A 16,912-nucleotide genomic window follows, 5' to 3' on the forward strand; every position below is an offset into this window, starting at 1 on the left:
ATTCAAAGCAGGGAGGGAAGAGTGTGGGCTCAGAGCCATACATGCTTAAGTGCAAGCCTTGGGGCCCCATAATTTACTAGCTGCTTGATCTTGGAAAAATTACTTAATCTTGTACAGCTAAAAAGTGGTGGAGCTCTGGGATTCAGAACTGGTCTGTCTGGGTTAAAAGAGCCCAAACGTTTTTCCCAGCGTATACTACATCTCCCAATCCATACACACACAATAGACTTTTCAGTGAGGAATACAGTAATTAATAACTTCCCAGATGGTAGTTGAACTTGCTTTTAAATTCCTATAGTCAAATAAGTTGGGAGAATGTTACAAGAAGATTAGTTAGAAAGAAAATGGTGTCATTTATTATCAGCTCGAAACATTCAGAATTGTCATTTGTAAGAAATAAGCTCATTATTAATAGAAGATTACTTCTCTTGTCTTTGTGTGACCATTTTCTTAAATTAAAAATAACTTTTTTCCCTTACTGCAAAAGTAATGCATGTTCATCTAATACAAATTGGAAAATAAAGGTAAGCAAATAATACAAAATTAAACACACTCTTAATCCCTCCGCCCAGATCTAACTGCTGTAAATATGTTAGTATATATCCTTCTAGATTTTCTGTGCTTTTATACAGATTTTAAAAAATCATAGTATATGCTCTTTCACTTTACAATATCTGGTCAACAACATTCCATGTCAATACATTTGCCTTTACTACATTATTTTTTATATCTGCTTATTAAGGTGAACAATTTAGTCTGATTTTAAACCACATTTGTTTACTCAGATGTCAGAGATCCACAGATAAGGAAACATCTGAAGAGCCCAGGTGTGGCTATGTGGAGAGGTTGAGTAATTCAAAACAAAGTACAAAACATAAAAACAATTACGACCAGTTTGACAGTTGTACGTCTGTTTCCTACGGCCTTCTACCCACAAGTCTACCGCTGACTTCAAAGAAAAGTCAGCACAGAGGAGGTCCAGAGGATAAGGTGCAAAACGAGAATCAAACCCACGATAAGAGATTAAAGGAAGGTTGATCAAAGACCCAGCATAAAAGTGCTAGCCCGTGACTTGCCTTGGCCCATGGCCCCAAAATATTCATCAGAACAGAGAGCGCTCTTTGAAGTGATTGGATGCATCCATGCTCAGACAAGCTCGGTGGTCAAAGGGAAATTTTAAAGAGTGGCCCTGGAAGGAGTTAGCAAAGTTGCCTCTTCCTCTCTCTGCTCTGCACATCCCTCACAAACTGAATGTTATTTCTTTGGTTTGTTGTGCAGATGCAAGTAATTTAACTGTACTTTTTGCCCCCTGGGAGATGTGGGAAGTACAGTTGCTTTTACAGGATGGAGAATTTGCACTCATGATCAGAGAACTGAAACTTCCAGCCATCCTTTTTATTCAGAGTGTTTAAGGACCGGTGGTATTTCCAAATAGGCAGTAGGGCTTGTTCATGCTCTGCTTGTTCATTCTGCTTGTTCATTAATTGTTCACTACTTTTCTGAGTAGAGTTCATTGCTCTGTGATGTCGTGACAGAAGCTTTCATTTCCCCAGAAAGAGGAAGAAAACAGAAGTGCCCCCTCCAAATGGCATAGCCTTCACAACATTCAGTTTAAATGTTTTTAAGTATCTTAAAAGAGAAGAGTTATATATTGCTAAGTGTGTTCTTAGAATGTCTGTAGTTAGCACTTCTTTCAGGCTCTAGTTTTCTGGTTTTTCACTTTACATAATAATCCTCTATGTATTTAGGATCTTTATTTTTCACCTTTCCCGTTACCATATTTTTATTTCCTTCAAAATTCGAGGGAATTGCTTTTTCTCTCTACCTTTTTTAGATCAGTTTCCTAGTCTTTAACTGAGGTGTTAAAGTTGGAGTTTTTACTGGCAAGTCTTGACTGAGCACAGTGTTAGGCTCTGTGAGAGAGAATATGCATTTTCTATTTTCACAGAGCCACAGTCCAGGTGAGGAGATAATGAATTTGCATGCGAAAAATGAATATGTTGTGAGCTGATACAGACTTTTGTCAGGCCAGTCTTTCATAAAGAAGTATTTGGAATGGGCTTTGAAAATGCCTGAAATTCCAAAATGAAATAATATGAAATAATATTTATTAGTACGTATAGGGGCTGGGTAACATGCTCAAAGTTACAGAGGCAGAAAACCATAAGGTGTCTCACAGAAACTGAATATACTCATTTAACTGTGACAGATGGCTCATGCGAGAAAGTAGCAAAGGAGAAGCTTCATTCGTTCTATTAGTGTTAGAATGTGCTATGGAATCTGGATTTTATTATGATTGCAAAAGGATGGTATTGAAAACTTTGGAGTGGAAAATGACATTCTGAAGTATTTTGAGAATATGAATCTGCCTGTGGAGTACAGAATGGACATAGGTAAGAAGAGGCCTGGGGCCACAACTTTGTCAAAAGGGCACAAATAGAGTCTGAGAGAAAGAGGGTTTGAGACAGAATGGAAACAATGGGAAAGATGGAATGGACTCTGGAGGCAATGAACTGAGAACGGATCTGACCTCTGTGGCAAGGGGAGAGGAGGTGAGTGATGGGCTGTAAGAGAAGGTGGTAAGAAGACTCATAGATGATTCAGTCACACATAACCATAATTGCACCCCTGTTACCTAGGTGCTAGGTGATACAAAGAGATTAATCACATCAACAAAATGGTTAGGTAGACAGAGTAGGTATTTACAATGAAAAACTCAAAGTAGTCTCACATTGAAGACAGAGTGAGGCAATGAGCTCTCAGGAGTCAAGAGAAATATTCCTTGAAGTTTGGAGTCACAGAAGCATCAGGGAAGAGATGGAACATGAGCTGAATGTTGAATGATGGGTAGAATTTGGAAAGAATGACAGGGGCAATCAAAGCTGTGGGATGAGGAGGTTAAAGCAAAGACACAGGACTAAGAAAACACAAGGAGTGTTTGTGACACATTGACGAGGGCCATCTGGTTGGAACAGAGTTTGCATAAACCACCAAAAGAGGAAAAGGGGAAGGTAGGGTGATACGTTTATTCTGGTAAAGGTTTAGACACCAAGCTAAAGATTTTATTTTTATTTCTGAGATAGTCTCTCTCTGTCACCCAGGCTGGAGTGCAGTGGCGCTGTCTTGGTTCACTGCAACCTCCACCTCCCGAGTTCAAGCTATTCTCCTGCTTTAGCCTCCTGAGTAGCTGGGACTACAGGTGCCTGCCACCATGGGCAGCTAATTTTTGTATTTTTAGTAGAGTTGGTGTTTCATCATGTTGGCCAGGCTGGTATTGGACTCCCAAAGTGCTGGAATTACAGGCGTGAGCCACTGTGCCCTGCCAAGCTTTTATAATTTAACCTGGGAAATGTCAAGCCACTGACATTTTTCAGCAAGGTTGTGGCCAGTGTCAAAGAGTCTTTCGGGAAGTTTGGTTTGTGGAAGATGTGTAGAATATATCAAGATGAAGAACTGGGTGACTTCTAGTCAAAAAGGAATGATGATATAAACCAGGTACCAATCAGAATGAGAGGTATGGAAGAGGGGCAAAGGAATTACCAGTAAACCAAGGGGAAATAGAAATACAGTTTTACCCAAAGTTTCAAATCCAGGAGGCTATGATAGCAACTGTGCTGTATACTAAGGCATACAACTCATGAGATGACTGGTTTGGTAACAGTCCTGAGCGTTTTGTTTTAAAGAGCTGGGTCCTGAGGTTCCAGACAAGCAAACATGCCAAAAAAGTGGTTCAATGGGGGGGCTTGAGGCTCAGCTGGAAACCATGTTTACCATACCAAGTTTAAAAAATCCACACAGCTCAGCAATTGTTTGAAGTTTTTAATTAATTAATTAATTCATAAAGTGAAGTATTTTCAAAAGCTCATCTGAGAGCTTATATTCTCTTGATACAGATGAATTCTCAATTGCTCTTTTGTTTTCATTGCAAAACAGTTCAACTTGTATGAGACTCAAAGTGGGGAGGGCAGGAGCAGAATTTTCTCTGTTCCGGGTATAGACATTATGGGTATTGGGCCATATTCTCCTCTTCGTTGGTAATAATTCCTATTTTATACATCTTTCTATCAATTGCAGCTCCTACCAGAGTCAACGTCTTGATTGTAAATACTCAGTGTTGGTTGATTTGCATTTTCATCATAGTCCTGAAAGATAAAAGTGGACCTAAGAAAAACTAATAAGCTTACAGCCAGTTTTATAATGACAGACTCTATATAAACAAATGCAAATTGGATGTCAAATTTGAATTACAAAATTTATTTGAGCAAGGTCCAGGAAGTAATAACAGTGTCTTCAGATCTTTTCTAAAATGATAAAAATTCATTAACAATCTTCCATGGCTTGGAGTCTCAGAGACTTTCAAAAGTCACAGCACTTTGAAGAGCAGAGTTGGCAACTAAAGTTATCAGAGTGAAGAATGGCATGCTAACCTCAGGTGCAGGATGGCCAACTCAAAGTAGACCTCTATTCTTTGTTCTTCTGAGATAGGAACTAGCCAGAAACTTAGTTATTCAGGGGTGGGGTGGGAAGGCTGTGGGACCCAGGGTGGAAGGACCCACACAGTTCAAAATAAAACGAACCAACTATAGTGAAGGAAAAGAGAACTATACACAGATAGTATTCCTCATCCCCCTGAATTGACTTATATAAAAAAGAAAACGGAGCATCCGACAAATTGATGCAATCAAAAGGGAGCAATAAGCCTTTTTCTCCTTTTAAGCCTCTTAAGAAATAAACCCATCATTTTATCTAGTGTTTTCTCTGCTCTTGCAGCTGCTCGACTGATCCAAAACATGGATGCCACCACTGAGCCTTGTACAGACTTTTTCAAATATGCTTGCGGAGGCTGGTTGAAACGTAATGTCATTCCCGAGACCAGCTCCCGTTACGGCAACTTTGACATTTTAAGAGATGAACTAGAAGTCGTTTTGAAAGGTTAGTAGAGATTGTGTCTGTGCATCAAAGATTTCTCTCTTAATATGTTCATTTTTTAAATATACAATTGTTAGCCATTACAAGGAATGTCACAGAAGATTAAAAAGTTAATAATCCTTCCAGGATTTGTGTACCACCACCAAGTCACTCTGATAGTGGCAGACACTGAAATTAATGTGTTGACATCTCTTAGCATTCCTGCTTTCATTTGTAGGTATGCAAATAATAAAGCGGTATCATCTCTAGAGATGGCAGGTTTGGTTTTTTGTTTGTTTGTTTGTTTGTTTTTTGAGATGGAGTTTTGCTCTTGTCACCCAGGCTGGAGTGCAATGGTGCTATCTCGGCTCACTGCAACTTCTGCCTCCCAGATTTAAGCAATTCTCCTGCCTCAGCCTCCCAAGTAGCTGGGATTGTAGGCACCTGCCATTACACCCAGCTAATTTTTGTATTTTTAGTAGGGACGGGGTTTCACCATGTTGGCCAAGCTGGTCTTGAACTGACCTCAGGTGATCCACCAGCCTTGGCCTCCCAAAGTGCTGGGATTACAGGTGTGAGCCACTATGCCCAGCCAAGATGGTAGTTTTATGCCATTTTACAGAAGAAAAAAAATTAAATGATTGGCACAGAAACCTACTTCTGTAGTCTCCCTACCCAAACCCTGTGTTAAAGTTACTGTAAGATGTTACTAAGATTTGCCTTCCCAGCACAGGTATATTCTAACCTGGCTAAGACTGTCTCCCTGAGAAGTTAAGAAATCTAGCCAAGTCCCTCCTATCCTTTGTTCTCTGTTCTCCCCTCTTCTAGAAGTTATTTTGTAGAAGAACAATTTTTGCTACTTTTTAACATTGAAACAAGTAGGACAATTCAATTCATTCATTTGGAGCATGAACGGTACAGTCACACAAAGATAATTATTTTCCAGCCATCAAAAAGACTATTCATACTAAATTCCAAATTCCTCTGTGTTATTGTTTTTTTTTAATCTCAATTTCAAGAAAAGTAACTGTTACCTATGGCAGAGCCGTATGCATCACTGTTCATAAAAAAAAAAAAAAGATAATCTAGTCAAAAGGACTTTCATCTAAATTGGCTGATTAAACTGACTCCCAGTTCTGTGCTAGGAATGATAATCTGGTAAGGGGTTTGGTTTTTCCTATAATGTTTTGGAACTGGGGGGAGGAAATGAATGTACCTCCAGAAAAGCAAGGTTTTTTTTTAACTGAACCCACTTTGCAAATGTTAATTACTGCAAATGAGCAATTATGTTTGCATAGTGCAAATGAGCAATTATGTTGATGCATTTTATTAAATGTCCTATTTCAGATGTCCTTCAAGAACCCAAAACTGAAGATATAGTAGCAGTGCAGAAAGCAAAAGCATTGTACAGGTCTTGTATAAATGAATGTAAGTGCTCTTCATTTGATTTCATTAGGAGTATATATATATATATATTGGTGCCAAACTATGCCTAGATTTCTAATTGAATTTATGTTTGTTGTTTCCAAAAGCTGCTATTGATAGCAGAGGTGGAGAACCTCTACTCAAACTGTTACCAGACATATATGGGTGGCCAGTAGCAACAGAAAACTGGGAGCAAAAATATGGTAAGGCAATTTTCCTACTAAAAAAGAAATTTCCATGTAAAATCTATGTTATAATATCATTAGTGAACTAAAGCTTCTAAAGATATATTTTATCTTTTATTGCTTTAGGTGCTTCTTGGACAGCTGAAAAAGCTATTGCACAACTGAATTCTAAATATGGGAAAAAAGTCCTTATTAATTTGTTTGTTGGCACTGATGATAAGAATTCTGTGAATCATGTAATTCATGTAAGTTTGTGTGTCAAATAACTAAAGTTACCTTTAAATTGTAATAAAACTTCCACATACATTGTTGTTATTGATATTTAGAAATAATGCTATTTTCAATTGAATTGAATAAGCAAGGAGGTAGTATATCCATGCTCTGTCCCTAATACCTGGAGTTCCAATTTTGAAAGTATTTTCTTAATGCTGTTTTCGACATTCACCCCTTGCTTCTGCTACCTCTGTTTTAGATACCTCTCCCTTCACAAAACAAATGATAAGAAGGGCTCCAGGCCCCTCCTATTCAGAAAAAGTTCCTAATTTCTTTGTATAGTACTTGAAAGGAGCATGCTTTCGTTTATAGAAGTAATGCAGGTCTAGAAACCAAAAAATAATAATTGCTTTCAAAAAGAACACAGAAAAGGGATTTTAAACATCATTTTTTTCCTCACTAAAGAGTATCTGTACTTTTTTCTCAACTAAAGGTAAATAAAATGCCTTTCTTTTAAAATGGATTTATTGTATTTTTACAAATGTAAACAATTTGATTTAGGTGTCACCTAAGACTAGATTAATGACTATGTTTGGAATGTACTGAAAAATATAAAGAGTTTTTCTTTCTTCCTTTTTTTTTTTGTTTTTTTTTTTTTTTGGTTTCCTGTGTAAGAAATTATACAAAAAATTGCAGGCTACTGAATCACCTAATCATATCTGTGTCACTATTGCATAAATCTTTATGGTCGTTTTTGTTAAAATCATGAAAGGAATTGAACCCAAATCTCCTGCAGTGGGCTCTCTCTCTTCTGAAACTTTCTCCTTGCAGGATCACCTTGAGGACCAGGGGGTGGGGAAGGATCAGGGCCCTTCATGTGGAGATATCTTCTGGCTCTTTCCATACCAGTTCTTTGGGTTATGTTTTCTTTTCTATTGGCCTAGGCTCTCCACAGCTGCTAGGATTCTCTCTTTAACCCAGAAATGCTCTGTTTGGCCTCCACACTCATGTTGCCATGCAGTGAGTAGGAAACAATCTTGCAAAGCTGCAGTATGCCCAGATAGCTCCCACTTGGGTATTAAACATGGACCAGACACGTTAGCGCAAAACTGAGTTTCCTCTTTCACACCCTTAACTGCTATCTGGGTCTACTGAGGTTCTTCTGAGCAGAGCAGCTTTGAGGAGAACCAAGGAGAAGTCGCCTCCATTCCCTTAGGGTAGAGAATCTTAAAAAACATTTTCTGGCACAAGTTACATTAGCTAAAAGATTCTGGAGTTACCTTAGAGGTTTTCCACTTCTCCCCTTCTCCCCATCCATCCAAATCAACTTGAAGAATATTAACCCACTCCCACCAATGAAAGGGGATCCCAACTAAGGGTGGAAGCAGATGAGAATGTTCCCAGGGGAGCACATTAGAATCTCAGGAAGCTGAGAAATCTGTGAATATGTAATTTAGAAATTTCCACGTCCTAGAATCTAACATGTTTTTGTTCACTTGCACCTTCTGCTCTGCATTAAAAATCCCTCCTAGTAAATCTTTTGTTCACTTTCTTTTGTTTTCCTTAAATATCTGCAGCACAGTCCTCCAGATTATCTAACTGCCCGTTAGTATAACACTTACAAGTAGTGTAGAAAGCATTTCCTAACTAGGTATTTATTGAGTGTCTGATGGTCACCCCATAAACAGCAAGAGTAGGATCTTTCACATACATAGATAGACATGCTTGTATTTTTCAAACTTTTCTATATTCACTGAATGATTTATTTTCTTTTATGTATATTTTTTATAGATTGACCAACCTCGACTTGGCCTCCCTTCTAGAGATTACTATGAATGCACTGGAATCTATAAAGAGGTAAAAAGAAAAAAAATAATCAAAACCAAACTACAAAATGATCTGGTGTAAACCTACAAGTAATGAAAAAGATAAAGCCAAATTAAATTTAGCCCTCTGATGTTTTTCATTCATGACAGGGACTTAAAATCACACATAATAGTGAGCTGTCTTTGATAGAATGAACATTCTCAATAGAATGAATGAAGGTATTTTACAAAACTAGGAAACTTGAAATTCCTTATTTGTATCTTGGTTTTTAGTATTTAAAACATATGATCGATTTTGAAAAGTTAATTTAAAATATTTTAATCCACCTGTAAACTGCATTATTTAAAAAATGAAAAGATTTATCATGGTCTAGGGTGGTGCTGGTGAGGACCAGAGGGTCAGTGAGAGATACACTCTGCAGCATCCTTCTGGAACCATCTGATTTGACTGTCAGAGAACTATGCAGGTAGTGACATTGGGCTCAGACAAACTTTTGCAGCTACCTTGTGACTCTAACATTGGCCAGGTAGCCAGTGGGCATCATATCCCATAGTGGACGTTTGGATGTTCTGGAGTGCTTTCTTATTGTCTCACAACCTTGCCTCCCTTGGGCTGATGTTCACGTGCTCTTTTTTTTTTTTTTTTTTTATTATACTTTAAGTTTTAGGGTACATGTGCACATTGTGCAGGTTAGTTACATATGTATACATGTGCCATGCTGGTGCGCTGCACCCACTAACTCGTCATCTAGCATTAGGTATATCTCCCAATGCTATCCCTCCCCCCTCCCCCCACCCCACCACAGTCCCCAGAGTGTGATATTCCCCTTCCTGTGTCCATGTGATCTCATTGTTCAATTCCCACCTATGAGTGAGAATATGCGGTGTTTGGTTTTTTGTTCTTGCGATAGTTTACTGAGAATGATTTCCAATTTCATCCATGTCCCTACAAAGGACATGAACTCATCATTTTTTATGGCTGCATAGTATTCCATGGTGTATATGTGCCACATTTTCTTAATCCAGTCTATCATTGTTGGACATTTGGGTTGGTTCCAAGTCTTTGCTATTGTGAATAATGCCGCAATAAACATACATGTGCATGTGTCTTTATAGCAGCATGATTTATAGTCATTTGGGTATATACCCAGTAATGGGATGGCTGGGTCAAATGGTATTTCTAGTTCTAGATCCCTGAGGAATCGCCACACTGACTTCCACAATGGATGAACTAGTTTACAGTCCCACCAACAGTGTAAAAGTGTTCCTATTTCTCCACATCCTCTCCAGCACCTGTTGTTTCCTGACTTTTTAATGATTGCCATTCTAACTGGTGTGAGATGGTATCTCATTGTGGTTTTGATTTGCATTTCTCTGATGGCCAGTGATGATGAGCATTTTTTCATGTGTTTTTTGGCTGCATAAATGTCTTCTTTTGAGAAGTGTCTGTTCATGTCCTTCGCCCACTTTTTGATGGGGTTGTTTGTTTTTTTCTTGTAAATTTGTTTAAGTTCATTGTAGATTCTGGATATTAGCCCTTTGTCAGATGAGTAGGTTGCGAAAATTTTCTCCCATTTTGTAAGTTGCCTGTTCACTCTGATGGTAGTTTCTTTTGCTGTGCAGAAGCTCTTTAGTTTAATTAGATCCCATTTGTCAATTTTGGCTTTTGTTGCCATTGCTTTTGGTGTTTTGGACATGAAGTCCTTGCCCATGCCTATGTCCTGAATGGTCATGCCTAGGTTTTCTTCTAGGGTTTTTATGGTTTTAGGTCTAACGTTTAAATCTTTAATCCATCTTGAATTGATTTTTGTATAAGGTGTAAAGAAGGGATCCAGTTTCAGCTTCCTACATATGGCTAGCCAGTTTTCCCAGCACCATTTATTAAATAGGGAATCCTTTCCCCATTGCTTGTTTTTCTCAGGTTTGTCAAAGATCAGATAGTTGTAGGTATGCGGCATTATTTCTGAGGGCTCTGTTCTGTTCCATTGATCTATATCTCTGTTTTGGTACCAGTACCATGCTGTTTTGGTTACTGTAGCCTTGTAGTATAGTTTGAAGTCAGGTAGTGTGATGCCTCCAGCTTTGTTCTTTTGGCTTAGGATTGACTTGGCAATGCGGGCTCTTTTTTGGTTCCATATGAACTTTAAAGTAGTTTTTTCCAATTCTGTGAAGAAAGTCATTGGTAGCTTGATGGGGATGGCATTGAATCTGTAAATTACCTTGGGCAGTATGGCCATTTTCACGATATTGATTCTTCCTACCCATGAGCATGAAATGTTCTTCCATTTGTTTGTATCCTCTTTTATTTCCTTGAGCAGTGGTTTGTAGTTCTCCTTGAAGAGGTCCTTCACATCCCTTGTAAGTTGGATTCCTAGGTATTTTATTCTCTTTGAAGCAATTGTGAATGGGAGTTCACTCATGATTTGGCTCTCTGTTTGTCTGTTATTGGTGTATAAGAATGCTTGTGATTTTTGTACATTGATTTTGTATCCTGAGACTTTGCTGAAGTTGCTTATCAGCTTAAGGAGATTTTGGGCTGAGACAATGGGGTTTTCTAGATATACAATCATGTCTTCTGCAAACAGGGACAATTTGACTTCCTCTTTTCCTAATTGGATACCCTTTATTTCCTTCTCTTGCCTAATTGCCCTGGCCAGAACTTCCAACACTATGTTGAATAGGAGTGGTGAGAGAGGACATCCCTGTCTTGTGCCAGTTTTCAAAGGGAATGCTTCCAGTTTTTGCCCATTCAGTATGATATTGGCTGTGGGTTTGTCATAGATAGCTCTTATTATTTTGAAATACGTCCCATCAATACCTAATTTCTTGAGAGTTTTTAGCATGAAGGGTTGTTGAATTTTGTCAAAGGCCTTTTCTGCATCTATTGAGATAATCATGTGGTTTTTGTCTTTGGCTCTGTTTATATGCTGGATTACATTTATTGATTTGCGTATATTGAACCAGCCTTGCATCCCAGGGATGAAGCCCACTTGATCATGGTGGATAAGCTTTTTGATGTGCTGCTGGATTCGGTTTGCCAGTATTTTATTGAGGATTTTTGCATCAATGTTCATCAAGGATATTGGTCTAAAATTCTCTTTTTTGGTTGTGTCTCTGCCCAGCTTTGGTATCAGAATGATGCTGGCCTCATAAAATGAGTTAGGGAGGATTCCCTCTTTTTCTATTGATTGGAATAGTTTCAGAAGGAATGGTACCAGTTCTTCCTTGTACCTCTGGTAGAATTCGGCTGTGAATCCATCTGGTCCTGGACTCTTTTTGGTTGGTAAACTATTGATTATTGCCACAATTTCAGCTCCTGTTATTGGTCTATTCAGAGATTCAACTTCTTCCTGGTTTAGTCTTGGGAGAGTGTATGTGTCGAGGAATTTATCCATTTCTTCTAGATTTTCTAGTTTATTTGCGTAGAGGTGTTTATAGTATTCTCTGATGGTAGTTTGTATTTCTGTAGGATCGGTGGTGATATCCCCTTTATCATTTTTTATTGTGTCTATTTGATTCTTCTCTCTTTTTTTCTTTATTAGTCTTACTAGCGGTCTATCAATTTTGTTGATCCTTTCAAAAAACCAGCTCCTGGATTCATTAATTTTTTGAAGGGTTTTTTGTGTCTCTATTTCCTTCAGTTCTGCTCTGATTTTAGTTATTTCTTGCCTTCTGCTAGCTTTTGAATGTGTTTGCTCTTGCTTTTCTAGTTCTTTTAATTGTGATGTTAGGGTGTCAATTTTGGATCTTTCCTGCTTTCTCTTGTGGGCATTTAGTGCTATAAATTTCCCTCTACACACTGCTTTGAATGCATCCCAGAGATTCTGGTATGTTGTGTCTTTGTTCTCGTTGGTTTCAAAGAACATCTTTATTTCTGCCTTCATTTCGTTATGTACCCAGTAGTCATTCAGGAGCAGGTTGTTCAGTTTCCATGTAGTTGAGCGGCTTTGAGTGAGATTCTTAATCCTGAGTTCTAGTTTGATTGCACTGTGGTCTGAGAGATAGTTTTTTATAATTTCTGTTCTTTTACATTTGCTGAGGAGAGCTTTACTTCCAACTATGTGGTCAATTTTGGAATAGGTGTGGTGTGGTGCTGAAAAAAATGTATATTCTGTTGATTTGGGGTGGAGAGTTCTGTAGATGTCTATTAGGTCCGCTTGGTGCAGAGCTGAGTTCAATTCCTGGGTATCCTTGTTGACTTTCTGTCTCGTTGATGTGTCTAATGTTGACAGTGGGGTGTTAAAGTCTCCCATTATTAATGCGTGGGAGTCTAAGTCTCTTTGTAGGTCACTCAGGACTTGCTTTATGAATCTGGGTGCTCCTGTATTGGGTGCATATATATTTAGGATAGTTAGCTCTTCTTGTTGAATTGATCCCTTTACCATTATGTAATGGCCTTCTTTGTCTCTTTTGATCTTTGTTGGTTTAAAGTCTGTTTTATCAGAGACTAGGATTGCAACCCCTGCCTTTTTTTGTTTTCCATTTGCTTGGTAGATCTTCCTCCATCCTTTTATTTTGAGCCTATGTGTGTCTCTGCATGTGAGATGGGTTTCCTGAATACAGCACACTGATGGGTCTTGACTGTTTATCCAATTTGCCAGTCTGTGTCTTTTAATTGGAGCATTTAGTCCATTTACATTTAAAGTTAATATTGTTATGTGTGAATTTGATCCTGTCATTATGATGTTAGCTGGTGATTTTGCTCGTTAGTTGATGCAGTTTCTTCCTAGTCTCGATGGTCTTTACATTTTGGCATGATTTTGCAGCGGCTGGTACCGGTTGTTCCTTTCCATGTTTAGCACTTCCTTCAGGAGCTCTTTTAGGGCAGGCCTGGTGGTGACAAAATCTCTCAGCATTTGCTTGTCTGTAAAGTATTTTATTTCTCCTTCACTTATGAAGCTTAGTTTGGCTGGATATGAAATTCTGGGTTGAAAATTCTTTTCTTTAAGAATGTTGAATACTGGCCCCCACTCTCTTCTGGCTTGTAGGGTTTCTGCCGAGAGATCCGTTGTTAGTCTGATGGGCTTCCCTTTGAGGGTAACCCGACCTTTCTCTCTAGCTGCCCTTAACATTTTTTCCTTCATTTCAACTTTGGTGAATCTGACAATTATGTGTCTTGGAGTTGCTCTTCTCGAGGAGTATCTTTGTGGCGTTCTCTGTATTTCCTGAATCTGAACGTTGGCCTGCCTTGCTAGATTGGGGAAGTTCTCCTGGATAATATCCTGCAGAGTGTTTTCCAACTTGGTTCCATTCTCCCCATCACTTTCAGGTATACCAATCAGACGTAGATTTGGTGTTTTCACATAGTCCCATATTTCTTGGAGGCTTTGCTCATTTCTTTTTATTCGTTTTTCTCTAAACTTCCCTTCTCGCTTCATTTCATTCATTTCATCTTCCATTGCTGATACCCTTTCTTCCAGTTGATCGCATCAGCTCCTGAGGCTTCTGCATTCTTCACGTAGTTCTCAAGCCTTGGTTTTCAGCTCCATCAGCTCCTTTAAGCACTTCTCTGTATTGGTTATTCTAGTTATACATTCTTCTAAATTTTTTTGAAAGTTTTCAACTTCTTTGCCTTTGGTTTGAATGTCCTCCTGTAGCTCAGAGTAATTTGATCGTCTGAAGCCTTCTTCTCTCAGCTCGTCAAAGTCATTCTCCATCCAGCTTTGTTCCGTTGCTGGTGAGGAACTGCGTTCCTTTGGAGGAGGAGAGACGCTCTGCGTTTTAGAGTTTCCAGTTTTTCTGTTCTGTTTTTTCCCCATCTTTGTGCTTTTATCTACTTTTGGTCTTTGATGATGATGATGTACAGATGGGTTTTTGGTGTGGATGTCCTTTCTGTTTGTTAGTTTTCCTTCTAACAGACAGGACCCTCAGCTGCAGGTCTGTTGGAATACCCTGCCGTGTGAGGTGTCAGTGTGCCCCTGCTGGGGGGTGCCTCCCAGTTAGGCTGCTCGGGGGTCAGGGGTCAGGGACCCACTTGAGGAGGCAGTCTGCCGGTTCTCAGATCTCCAGCTGTGTGCTGGGAGAACCACTGCTCTCTTCAAAGCTGTCAGACAGGGACATTTAAGTCTGCAGAGGTTACTGCTGTCTTTTTGTTTGTCTGTGCCCTGCCCCCAGAGGTGGAGCCTATAGTGGCAGGCAGGCCTCCTTGAGCTGTGGTGGACTCCACCCAGTTCGAGCTTCCGGGCTGCTTTGTTTACCTAAGCAAGCCTGGGCAATGGCAGGCGCCCCTCCCCCAGCCTCGCTGCCGCCTTGCAGTTTGATCTCAGACTGCTGTGCTAGCAATCAGCGAGATTCCGTGGGCGTAGGACCCTCCGAGCCAGGTGTGGGATATAGTCTCGTGGTGCGCCGTTTTTAAGCCGGTCTGAAAAGCGCAATATTCGGGTGGGAGTGACCCGATTTTCCAGGTGCGTCCGTCACCCCTTTCTTTGACTTGGAAAGGGAACTCCCTGACCCCTTGCGCTTCCCAGGTGAGGCAATGCCTCGCCCTGCTTCGGCTCACGCACGGTGCGTGCACCCACTGGCCTGCGCCCACTGTCTGGGACTCCCTAGTGAGATGAACCCGGTACCTCAGATGGAAATGCGGAAATCACCCATCTTCTGCGTTGCTCACGCTGGGAGCTGTAGACTGGAGCTGTTCCTATTCGGCCAACTTGGCTCCTCCTCCTTTTTTTTTTTTTTTTTTTTTTTTTTTTGAGACAGAGTCTTGCTCTGTCCTGTCACCCAGGCTAGAGTGCAGTGGCGCAATCTTGGGTCACTGCAACCTCCGCCTCCCTGGTTCAAGCAATTCTCCCAGCCTCGGCCTCCTGAGTACCTGGGATTACAGGTGCCCGCCACCGCGCCCAGCTAATTTTTGTATTTTTAGTAGAGACGGGGTTTCACCATTTTGGCCAGTGTGGTCTCGAACTCCTGACTTTGTGGTCCACCTGCCTCGGCCCCCTAAAGTGCTGGGATTACAGATGTGAGCCACCACACCTGGCCCATGTGCTTTTCTTACAGAAAGTAAGGAACAGCAGGAGACAAAACTAATAATCTTACACGTTATTAGATATTGGGGAAAGGTGTTGGTTCTACAAAGGTTTGTCTTATAATTATTTTGTAGCTCAAAAGTAAGTTATCTTTGATGATCCTAATGGCTCACAGTGTAGTGATGTGACTAAAATTACATTTTAGTTAAAATTACTAGCTAAATATGTTTATGATTGGCATTTATTTTGCCAAATTATGAAGTTCGAATAACATGGAATGAATTCACTGTAAGGTATCTTTTTGAATGACTACACAACACTGAAATGAAGAAAAAGATATATCATCAAAGGCCACAATTAATAGCACAGATAAATACATGGGTATGGGATATTTGAGTTCAGTACAATCTAGTTGCTGTGTGGGGTACAGCTACTGGCTTTAAGAGCAATGCAGCTGCTTTCTGTTACAGATTTGAAAGTGATTGAGGAATTTTGGTTCACTATTGTACATTTTTATCACCATGAACTGGGATGCTTTTCATATTTAGGATTGTGTTCTTATATCAAATTTTTCAAATCCTATGATACATATTTTTTTTACATTTTAATTCTGATATCAAGGTATACCTGGCAGTCGATGTATATATTTAAGGCAGTAAAAGCTTTTTTTTTTTCATTGTTAAGATGTTGCATTTTTGCATTTTATACTCAATGCTATCCCATAATCTCAAACAGGTCACAAACTGGCAGTCTTTGGCTTGAATCTGATATAGAAGCATTTTTGTTTAACCTGTAGTGTTTTTTTTTAAATTTTGAATTAGTTGTCAATATTTTTCAAAATTGAAAGATTTCATTTGAGAATCCAGATTTCTTAGTAAGTCAGTAGAATTTGAGCCCCTAGCTTGCATTCTTATATGGCAGCAATTGACCAGAGTGGTGTTGTGGTTGCTCCTTTTAGAAAGGGCATTTATTGGCTGGGCGCAGTGGCTCATGCCTGTAATCTCTGCACTTTGGGAGGCCAAGGCGGGTGGATCACCTGAGGTCGGGAGATCGAGACCAGCCTGACCACCATGGAGAAACCCCATCTCTACTAAAAATACAAAATTAGCCGGGCGTGGTTCTGCATGCCTGTAATCCCAGCTACTTGGGAACTTGGGAGGCTGAGGCAGGAGAATCGCTTGAACCCAGGAGATAAAGGTTGCAGTGAGCCAAGATCGTGCCATTGGACTCCAGCCTGGGCAACAAGAGCGAAACTCCATCTCAAAAAAAAAAAAAAAAAAGAAAGGGCATTTGTTCTCCAGGTTTGAACAGTTTTGAACAGTCCTCATCAACATGATTCATCGATTTATATTGACTTATCGGCTCCTGTAGGCACTTGATTTTGCATATT

General features: G+C 39.6%; 1 protein-coding gene across 10 annotated transcripts in view, besides 2 other annotated features; it reads left to right on the forward strand.

The window, feature by feature from the left end:
* Positions 1–16,912, forward strand: part of MME (membrane metalloendopeptidase) — a 159,528-nt gene that overhangs the window by 86,022 nt on the left and 56,594 nt on the right. For all 10 annotated transcript variants that reach the window (NM_001354642.2, NM_000902.5, NM_007287.4 and 7 more), the window contains exons 4-8: positions 4,771–4,932; positions 6,256–6,336; positions 6,441–6,536; positions 6,645–6,763; positions 8,523–8,588. In NM_001354642.2, the coding sequence (NP_001341571.1) occupies positions 4,771–4,932; positions 6,256–6,336; positions 6,441–6,536; positions 6,645–6,763; positions 8,523–8,588 (524 nt within the window). The remainder of the gene's footprint in view (positions 1–4,770; positions 4,933–6,255; positions 6,337–6,440; positions 6,537–6,644; positions 6,764–8,522; positions 8,589–16,912) is intronic.
* Positions 13,991–14,747: an enhancer, noted in NCBI's record as "OCT4-NANOG-H3K27ac-H3K4me1 hESC enhancer chr3:154842003-154842759 (GRCh37/hg19 assembly coordinates)". NCBI's record gives its function as "activates a minimal SCP1, AML or CMV promoter by ChIP-STARR-seq in primed H9 embryonic stem cells {active_cell/tissue: H9 hESC(primed)}" and the evidence as "EXISTENCE:reporter gene assay evidence [ECO:0000049][PMID:30033119]".
* Positions 14,748–15,503: an enhancer, noted in NCBI's record as "OCT4-NANOG-H3K27ac-H3K4me1 hESC enhancer chr3:154842760-154843515 (GRCh37/hg19 assembly coordinates)". NCBI's record gives its function as "activates a minimal SCP1, AML or CMV promoter by ChIP-STARR-seq in primed H9 embryonic stem cells {active_cell/tissue: H9 hESC(primed)}" and the evidence as "EXISTENCE:reporter gene assay evidence [ECO:0000049][PMID:30033119]".

The sequence above is a fragment of the Homo sapiens genome, chromosome 3 (genome assembly GCF_000001405.40).
Source record: "Homo sapiens chromosome 3, GRCh38.p14 Primary Assembly".
Lineage (NCBI taxonomy): Eukaryota > Metazoa > Chordata > Mammalia > Primates > Hominidae > Homo > Homo sapiens.